General features: G+C 51.1%; 1 protein-coding gene across 7 annotated transcripts in view; it reads left to right on the forward strand.

The window, feature by feature from the left end:
- PRDM11 (PR/SET domain 11) overlaps positions 1–9505 on the forward strand; it is a 140951-nt gene extending 131446 nt beyond the window's left edge. For all 7 annotated transcript variants that reach the window (NM_001384648.1, XM_011520225.3, NM_001256695.2 and 4 more), the window contains one exon: positions 391–9505. In NM_001384648.1, coding sequence (NP_001371577.1) covers positions 391–2555 — 2165 coding nt within the window. In that variant the 3' untranslated portion in view covers positions 2556–9505. The remainder of the gene's footprint in view (positions 1–390) is intronic.
- The last annotated feature ends 785 nt before the right edge of the window (positions 9506–10290 follow it).

Here is a 10290-nt window from a genome sequence, read left to right on the forward strand (position 1 = left end):
AATGAATCCCAAGTCCTTGCTATATAACTTTGGAATGTGTGATGTGCTTTTCCTCCTCCATTAGATCTACTCTCCTAGCTTGAGCTGTCCAGTTGATAGGGGGCATTTAAATCCCTCAAACACCCACACATGGAGGGCAAGGGCAGGCAGCCTGAAATCTGGTGGGTGTGACAAGGCAACCGTGGACAATCACAGGGAGAGTAAAAGTCACATGGGCAAGCAGGAGTGCTCATAAACTAATTCTGGGCTGGGATTCAATCCATCATAGGCTTCCACGGACTTCTGTTTCCCATGGTGTGGCACCTACCTTCCAGGAGTGTTTCCTGTGGATTTTGGAAAAGCCTGTTTTCTCCCCCAGGTATAAATGTTTCTTTCCCATTTGTTTTTCAGCCTCAGAAAGCATGGTCTCCGGCCCCGCCATCATGGAGGATGATGACCAGGAAGTCGATTCAGCAGATGAATCTGTCTCCAATGATATGATGACAGCGACGGATGAGCCCTCCAAGATGTCATCGGCCACCGGGCGCCGAATCCGGCGCTTTAAGCAGGAATGGCTGAAGAAGTTCTGGTTCCTGCGGTACTCCCCAACCCTCAATGAGATGTGGTGCCACGTCTGCCGCCAGTACACGGTGCAGTCCTCACGCACCTCGGCCTTCATCATTGGCTCCAAGCAGTTTAAGATTCACACCATCAAACTTCACAGCCAGAGCAACCTGCACAAGAAGTGCCTGCAACTGTACAAGCTCCGCATGCACCCGGAGAAGACAGAGGAGATGTGTCGCAACATGACCCTGCTCTTCAACACCGCCTACCACCTGGCCTTGGAGGGCAGGCCCTACCTGGACTTCCGGCCCCTGGCGGAGCTGCTGAGGAAGTGTGAGCTCAAGGTGGTGGACCAGTACATGAATGAGGGAGACTGCCAGATCCTCATCCATCACATCGCCCGGGCCCTGCGGGAAGACCTGGTGGAGCGCATCCGCCAGTCACCTTGCCTCAGCGTCATCCTGGATGGGCAGAGCGACGACCTGCTGGCCGACACGGTGGCTGTCTATGTTCAGTACACCAGCAGTGATGGGCCCCCGGCCACAGAGTTCCTGTCCCTGCAGGAGCTGGGATTCTCTAGCACAGAAAGCTATCTCCAGGCACTTGACCGGGCCTTCTCGGCCTTGGGCATCCGGTTGCAGGATGAAAAGCCAACTGTTGGCTTGGGTGTAGATGGAGCCAACATCACAGCCAGCCTCCGTGCCAGCATGTTCATGACCATCCGCAAGACGCTGCCCTGGCTGCTGTGCCTGCCCTTCATGGTGCACCGGCCCCACCTGGAGATCCTGGATGCCATCAGCGGGAAGGAGCTCCCATGCCTGGAGGAGCTGGAGAACAACCTGAAGCAGCTGCTGAGCTTCTACCGCTACTCACCGCGCCTCATGTGCGAGCTGCGGTCCACGGCGGCCACCCTTTGTGAGGAGACAGAGTTCCTGGGCGATATCCGGGCAGTGCGGTGGATCATCGGCGAGCAGAACGTCCTCAACGCTCTCATCAAGGACTACCTGGAGGTGGTGGCCCATCTCAAGGAGGTCAGCAGCCAGACCCAGCGGGCAGACGCCTCGGCCATCGCACTGGCCCTGCTGCAGTTCCTCATGGACTACCAGTCCATCAAGCTCATCTACTTCCTGCTGGACGTGATTGCTGTGCTCTCGCGTCTGGCCTACATCTTCCAGGGCGAGTACCTGCTGGTGTCCCAGGTGGATGACAAGATCGAGGAGGCCATCCAGGAGATCAGCCGGCTGGCTGACTCCCCGGGAGAATACCTGCAGGAGTTCGAGGAGAATTTCCGAGAGAGCTTCAACGGGATCGCCATGAAGAACCTCAGGGTGGCTGAAGCCAAGTTCCAGTCCATCAGGGAGAAGATCTGCCAGAAGACCCAGGTCATCCTGGCTCAGAGGTTCGACTCCCGCAGCCGGATCTTTGTGAAGGCCTGCCAGGTGTTTGACCTGGCTGCCTGGCCCAGGAGCAGTGAGGAGCTGATGAGCTATGGCAAGGAGGATATGGTGCAAATATTTGATCACCTGGAGGCCATCCCGACCTTTTCCCGGGATGTCTGTAGGGAAGGGCTGGACCCCCGGGGTAGTCTGTTGATGGAGTGGCGAGAACTCAAGGCTGATTACTACACCAAAAATGGCTTCAAAGACCTGATCAGCCACATTTGCAAGTACAAACAGAGGTTTCCACTCTTGAACAAGATCATCCAGGTTCTTAAAGTCCTCCCCACTTCCACCGCTTGCTGCGAGAAAGGCCGCAATGCCCTCCAGCGAGTTCGCAAAAACCACCGCTCCCGCCTGACCCTGGAGCAGCTTAGCGACCTGTTGACAATCGCTGTAAACGGACCGCCAATCACCAACTTTGATGCCAAGCGAGCCCTGGACAGCTGGTTTGAGGAGAAGTCTGGGAACAGTTACGCGCTGTCTGCAGAAGTCCTCAGTAGGATGTCTGCGCTGGAGCAGAAGCCAGCACTACAGACCATGGACCACGGGACGGAGTTTTACCCCGACATTTAGGGAGCTGGCGCTGCAGAGTTCACTAAGCTGTTGAATATTTTTTTAATCTATACTCATAAGCTTTGATATATTATATAAATATATATTATATTATATTATATTATATTATATATATATATATATATAAACTCACACTGAAAATTTTTAAAAACCAAGGTGACGCGTCCACCAGAAGCCACTGGGAGATTTCAGAAAGGAAAAATGTTGGAAACTGACTCTTGTCTACAAAATTTGGCAGCTGCAACATACATGGCAACTCATTTTCACTCACAGAAGCACGTGCTGGGGCCTCCTGTGTTCCCACCTTACTGTCCACCAACAGCATAAGCTAAAATGACAGGTCTCTGTCATCACCTTTAGGTAGCTCATTTTGTTTATGTTTTCATTTGCGGGTGGCGGGGCTCTGGGTTTGGGTTTATGTTCTTGCCTTTTCTTTTTTCATTTGGTTTTATGATGGGAGGGAGCTCCTCAGCCTCCTCATTGACATTCTGGTCCGGCTGAATCAGATCTCTGACTTAAGTCAGGGTGGGTTGTCTGTCTGCATTTGGGAGGCAGGGGGGTTGACCTTTCTCCCTCCCCACCTGACTTCAGCTTGAGATCTTTTTTTATTCATTTCCTGATGAGGGTTCCTTCACTGTCCTACAAACAAAAGTGTCGGTCAAACTGTGACACTGCCACACCTCACCTCTGTTGCCTCGTCCATCCCTGGGTTGTGGATCCCTTCCTTCCAGCCCCCCCTGGAAACTCACAATATTACCCATTATACTGAAGGCAACATTGCCTCACCGCTGAGCTTGAAATCCTGGGGAAGGGAGAAGGGGTAAGCTTTTAGCATTCCTGTTTTTACGAGGTGGAGGATAAAACAATATAATTCCATTCCAATCCAGGGCTTTTGGGGAGATGAAGAGCCAAGAAGTCCAGACCCCAACAGGGGAGTGATTTTTGGCTAAAAAACAAGGAAAATGAAAAGTACATATTCGAGTTACATGGATTATTTATACTTTTTCTTTATAATCATATCATGTGTTGAGGGTATTTTTTTTCCTTTAATAATCAAGAAATGCCTGCTATAGTTCAGTGGCAGGTAGTGTCAATGCAAATTGTGCCCTAAGTTATGCATAACTCAAATGAGAGTCTGTAGAGATGTGGTCCTCCTTTTGCAACAAGGCTGATAACATGCTACATGGTCATAGGAAACTGGGGAATGTGTCTCTGCCTGTAAACTCTTCCTTTTTTGAACAGGGTAGAGATGTCCTAAAGAAATGGAGAAAAGAAGAGAGGACTCTCAAGGCATCAGCCTACACAGACACACACACACACACAGACACACACACACACACAGACACACACACACACACACAATCACAATATACAATATAAGCTTTAGAAATAGCCACTTGCCTATTCCCTGGGGCAAGTAGTGGTTTAAACTAGAGGAGTCTGATCAATGCTCTTTCATTCATTTAACTACCGGTATACCTCGCAAGGGAGTTTTAAAAAATGTGCGTGAGCTGTTAAAAACTTCTGTTCATGTTCCTACATCTGATTTATGCATATTTTATATGCAGAGATCCTATCACGTGGATGCAGGTCATTTTGGGGGAGGGAGGAAGATCTGAATTATATACATGTGGTCAGTTCTGCTGAGAGCTTCATCTCTTGGTTGGCAGAGGGTGGTGTTATCTGGCCACAGGCAAGGCCCCAATGTCTTCAGCCTGCTTGGTTCAGACATTATAAAACTGTGGTGGCTTCCTTCCTTCTTGGTTTATGTTGTCTCTGAGGCCTCATGCCACCGTTGAGAACCATAGTGGAAATGTCATCAACACTGAACATGTTATAGCCCTTTCTTGGTTCCACCAGTCCCTTCATCCCCTACCAATCCCTTCCCCTTCACCTCCATGGTCTTGGTGCTAAGATAACTTTAGAATCATTGCTGCTAGTCAATAGCTTTTCATTATATAAATATATTATATATATTATATATTATTTTTGAAATATTTTTGTTTGTTTTCAACAGTGATGTAGCATGTTAAAAAACAAAAAACAAAAAAAAATGGGTTCCTCCAACTGTCCCACTGCCAGGCCTCATATGCTGCCTTCTTCAACAAATCAATGCACCCCTGCCTGGTGACATCCACCCCACCTCCCACCCCAGTTGCACACATGCTTCCCTACCCTCCTCTGAGCAAGAAGACAGTTAGCAGGAACTAGCAAGGAAAGGCTGAAAGCCTCCTTCTGAGGCTTTGAGATTCCCAGCCCCATTCCACTTCCCCACTTTAAACTGATGTCTCCCTCCATCTGCTCCTCCCATCAGGGTCAAAACCTAACTGTGGTCAAATGGGATGCTGTTGCAAAGCACCAGGTCCCACCTGGCCCAGCCCCAGCCTTGGGACTTCCTCTCCCCTCACACACGCAAACTGCTGTGTCTGGGGAGTTTTCACTGAACATTGCAGAGACTAAGAAGGGTTGAGGGCAGAGATGGCTAGCAAGACAGGGCTTGGTGAGGGCAGAAACAGTAGGTTGAGATCCTTTCTTCTAGCCAACAGTTGCCTTACACCTTACATTGGGTAATGGGTAGGGAGGAGCAGGCTAAGGCTCCCGCTCATTTGAAAACCAGGAAGAGAGAACCAGTGTCTTCCTGAGCACCTGGTCAGTTGGAGCTACTCTTTTTCCTCTCAAGAGATCATGGCCAAAATGAGCTAAAATCTTCAGCTAGAAGGGGAAAAGCTTATGGGCCAGTGCCAGTGCCTACCCTGTAGTTCCTGAGAAAGCTGAGAGCAGGTGACCCACTTCTGGCCTAGCAGAATGAGCTGCTATGCACAGCATGCAGCTGCAGGGGTCACTTCCTGAGCTGGCCACCAGACCTCGGAAAAGCTAACCTCTCAGGTGGTCTTGAAGTTAGGTTAGGGCATCCCTAAAACTCTGGGTGCTTGTGGCTTCTGCTGAATTTAGCCATGCCAGGGCTGTGGCAGACACTCTGTAGGCCACACTGCCATGGGACAGGGAATAATTTGGGTGATACACCACTGCAATTTACACGGGGTCTCTTCTCAGCTTGGATGCTCCCTGGGAGGCCCAGTGCTTCTGTCCTGTGAATTCTGCATGTGATTACCCATGATTTCTGTCATAGGCATTTCCCACTCTTCTGCTTGCTTGAGAAGGACTTGGACTGATGGGACACTCAGGGTCTAGCCCAGGGAGCATATGCTTGGCTAACCTAATCTCCCCTTGATGTGTATACAGAACTGTGGAAAAGCAGTTGGTGGATCCCAAATGTTGTTACTTCAGACAAGACAGAGCCCTTTAACTCAGCCTCTGGCTTAGGAGTGATGACTACAGGCTTAGAATGAAGTGTGTCTCTGGGGCTGAGACTTGGCATAACTGGGCTGGCTGATTAGTGACTTTCTTTGGCTCGTAGGGTTGGTGGGAAGTGAGATCAACCTTGAGGCCCAGGTTTGTGGCCAACTGTGCCAAGGTGATACCTGGCAGAGCCTGGGAGCCAGAGCCCTTATGATTAATATGATCTGCTTTTCCTTCATGGAGGACAAAGAAAAAATCCACTGCCATCTAGTATCTGTGAAACATGAGGACAGCGCAGTCAAGTCTGTAACTCTTGCCATGTCAGAATCCCCAAGTTTTGCCTGCCTGGTTGAATATGAGAGTCCAGGCATCAGAAACAGCAGCCTTATTTAATTTAATTTTTCTAATGACTGGCCTATGACACCTTGTGATGCTAGGCACATCCTCATTTCCCCATCCTCACTTGGGACTGAGAGCAGGCTCAAGTTCCAGGGTCCCTGGATGGCAAGGTTCAGTGCTGGGCCCTGGAATCTATGGCACTTGGGGGTCTCTGACCTCAGCCTCTGCCACATGTTTCCAAGTTGAGTTGTTTTGCTGAGGTGGTCCTCCCCTTGAGTTGCTTATGCCAACCCTTTAATTTAGGAAAAGTACCTTGTAATTACTTAAGGTAATGTTTAAATGTTTTCCATTCATTTGGAGGTGGTGCCAACAGGGGGGAAAGCATGCAGAAGGCTGGAAACAATAGCTGAGACCCTACTGTGGGCCCACAGCCCTGGCCCAGCCGGCACTGAGGGGCTGGTGCCATGTTACTTGATCACCTGGAGCCTGATGGGACCCAGGAGGTGGCCTGAGGGGTTGAAGTATAACTTCCCTCTTCTGGATCCCCCCTTTCATTTTCCTTCTACCCCCTCTAGGAATGGGAGTTCTAGACCTAGGTCTGCTTTTGGCTTTCAGTCTGGGTTGATTTCCAAGTCGAATTCATGCTTTTTCTTGGCCCATAGGTCCAATTTTGGCAGAAGGCATTGGACTTGTGCCCCCTCCCTGCTTCAAGAGGCAGATCTAGCCAGGCCAGGCTGAAACAGCTGAAACAGGCAGGCCAGTCCTCCTCAGACAAGAAAGGGGTTTTCAGAGGGCAGTGGTGTGCCCATTCCAGACACCAGTCTTCTGGGGAGGTGGTGCCGTGTCATGGGTTCTAGTCTGGCCTCTTCCTCAGTCCTCAGGAGGACCCAAGAGACTGGCACGGCCCTTCTCCTGCTTGGAGGGAAACCCATCTCCCACTTGGTGGGGGCCCTTCTCTTGCCATCTGTTGGTTAGGGTGCTTGAGCTGAGTGGATGGTGCTGTGATATTTTTAAGGAGCCTTTCAGGCAATGTTTGCATGTTAGCCAGAGGGAGAAAAAGTGCCCTTTTGGGAGGAAAATGGTACGCCCCTCCACTTCCATCTGGCACTCCCTTCCCCCCCACCCCCTCAAGTGGTATCACCCTGGAAATACCTATGCAATCCAGTCTCCCTAGGAGAGAGTGCATGGAAGCAGGGGTATGTGCAGTGTAGAATACAGATGCTACAGCATATATGTTGTATATATGGACATATACAGTACGTATACACACAGAGTAAGAGAGTAAATCACGTCTATATATCTATAAATAATATCCTATATATTTATACATTTCTATGTTTTAAATAGATATAAAAATAGAGTCTATAGAGCTGGGAGAGCAGTGGGAAGCCTGGCGCTGTGCTGTGCAAAGGGGAAGGGAGCACGGCCTTCGGAGAGGGAGCCGGGGAAGGCCAGCAGGCAGGGTTGGCTGGCAAGGGGGCCTCCTACCCGGAGTGTTGGAGAGGAGAGTGGCTGGGTCCCGGCTCGCTCCATGCACTTTCTCTCCTTTTCCACAGGCTTGGTCTGAGGTTGGAAGGAGATACCCCCTGAGCTCCAGCTGAGGTGCCCCCTACCTCTCCCCACCCCCACAGCCCACGCTTAGGCGGTCACTGCTGCTTGGCAGTAGGACGTGGTCTCTGACTCCTGGTGGAGGGACCACTGCACAAACTCCTTCAAAACCCTCCCGCACCAGGACTGAGCAGCGTCAGTGGCAATAGGAAAGGTCCAAACTGGATCAAGAGCTGGTCCAGGAAAGATACCGCCCCTGCCCTGTTAGATGCTTCTGCTGCCCCTAGAGGCCAAGCCCCTGAAGTGCAGCCGTCCTGGCCTCCCTCACTTGCTCAACCACTGTCAGGAGGAGAGGATGTGGGCAGCATGAGCATCGCCAGGCAGCGCTGCCCACCATCCACAGGCTTTCTGGCCAGGGCAGGGGGCATCAGCTAGCAGGAAACGGTGGGAGAGACATATCTGCACACTCATAAATTCAATGGCTACTCCAGTCCAGAAGCAGGGCTTTGGCCCAGCCCGCTCCGCGCAGCAGCTGCTGCTGGCTGTACTCAGGACAACGCTGTTCCCCCTCCCTCACAGAGGCCCCGTGGCCCCTACCCCACTCCCGCCGTAACAGGCAGGTTTAGTTCACATACACTGTTCGCATTCTGTGACTTGAGGCAGAGGCTGAGCTGGGATACCCCAAGCTCATCCACTTTCGTTGGGGAGGGCCCCTCCCTGGGTTTATCACCAGCTCCTAGCCCGGGCCGGGCGGGGATGTCTGGGGGCCACGCGGGGGCACTGGTGCAAGCTGGCAGCATGACAGAGGGCTTGTGCAGCCCTGACGGGACCCAGAAGCCCATTTGCTCGCAGTTTCCTCTCTCTGTTTTTTTCCTCCTGGAGGTAGGAGAGAGGGCCTGACCAGGCACCAGATGATGGAGCAAGGGCAGCTGCATGCTCCCTCTCTCCAGACCAGCCTTCTGCTTTTGGGGTCCGAAGGGGCATTTGCTCCCATCCTGAGCCTCCTCTGCCCCTGTCTTGCTCTTCCCCACCATCCTACAAGTACCTCAGTCTCCAGCAGGCCCACCCCTCCACCTGCAGCCCAGGGCGGGTCTGTTCTGCCAATGCCCACCTCCTTGAGCCACAGTTAGCTGCCAACTGGGTCTTGGGACACCCTCCAGTACCTGGCTCAAGAGAGACCAGGCCGGGCCGAGCCTTCTTCCCACTGCAGTGGACTAGACCCACGGCCAGGGGATGGGCATCCCCAGGTAGCAATCCCACAATGCACTGTACCTCAGAGAGAGAGCACGCCAGGGGCACCAAGGGACCGAGCCCTCTGTCCAGAGGGGGACAGCGGTCACAATACTGCTCACCAAAAGACAAAGGCCAGGCTGCCCTCGGGCACCTCTCAGTCTTCACTTTTGTCTCTCCGGAAGAACCAGCAGTCTGATTCCGTCTATTTCAGCCCCCGTCTCTCTCTTCTCCACCCCCACGCTGCTGAACCATTTTCATGTCAATCACAAAGGAAAAATAAGTGGGGATGGGGGGAAATACCTAGGAGTCTATTATCACATACATATTAATATGTTAATACTTTCTTTAAAAAAAACCTCTTGATGTTATTATTTTGCAGACTACGCTTTATAGTACCTGTGTGACGGGACCTAGAACACTGGATACAAATAGAGCTATGTTGGTTTATCATAATATGTACGCAGAAACTTTCTTTTTGTCATATTATCCTTGTAATGTAAGAAGATTGTTAATAAAAGCATTTAAATTTACTCACCACTGTTGAATTGCTGCCTCCTTGCCTCTATCCCCGGCCTGTGCTCTGGTTGACTCAGAACGGGCCCCACCACAAGGGCTCAGGTGTCAGAATAGGAGCTTGCCTGCTGCCAGGTTGGAAGGAACTAGAAGAGGCCACTAGCCCCTTCTTGCTGCTCTCATTGTTCCCCCATTAGAGTCTCTTTCCAGCAAGTAACCTACGTGCCTCGCCCACCAGGCAGGCCAAAAGAGGTGTGACCGAAACCGTTTAAAATAAATCTCTCTGCCCCCATATGCATTCATCCCACAAGAATCTCCTGGAGGCAGCACACAAGGGCTGTTGCAGATAAACTGTTGTTCTCATTCTCCCTCAAGCTGTCTGGCATGGTTCTCTACTTGCAGACCTGTCCCTGGAGAAGGGTCTTTCCTCAATGGTTTGTCATTGGCACTGGTATAAGGGTGATGAGTGATGCTTTCCCCACATTGTTTTACAAAAATTAGTATAAATCCAGTGAAGACACATAATATGTTTTAATTTTTTCCTCCTGAGCTGCTCGGTCCTCCTACTCCCAGTTTCCCTGCCCTGCCCATTTGTCTTCCTTTTAGGAGCCTTCCTAGTTCCTTTTTCTTAACCTCTGTCTTCTGCCATTTTCCTCCCAGCCCTTGAAGGCTTCCTTCCCGTGGTTGATCACTCAGAGGCCTCCTGTTGTGAAAGCCACTCTACAGACCCATGGAACAGTCTAGTTTTCTTCTTCCCAGAGGAGGTGTAGGGAAAGAAGGAGCAAAGAGACATAGCTGTCCA

Source organism: Homo sapiens, chromosome 11, assembly GCF_000001405.40.
Source record: "Homo sapiens chromosome 11, GRCh38.p14 Primary Assembly".
NCBI lineage: Eukaryota > Metazoa > Chordata > Mammalia > Primates > Hominidae > Homo > Homo sapiens.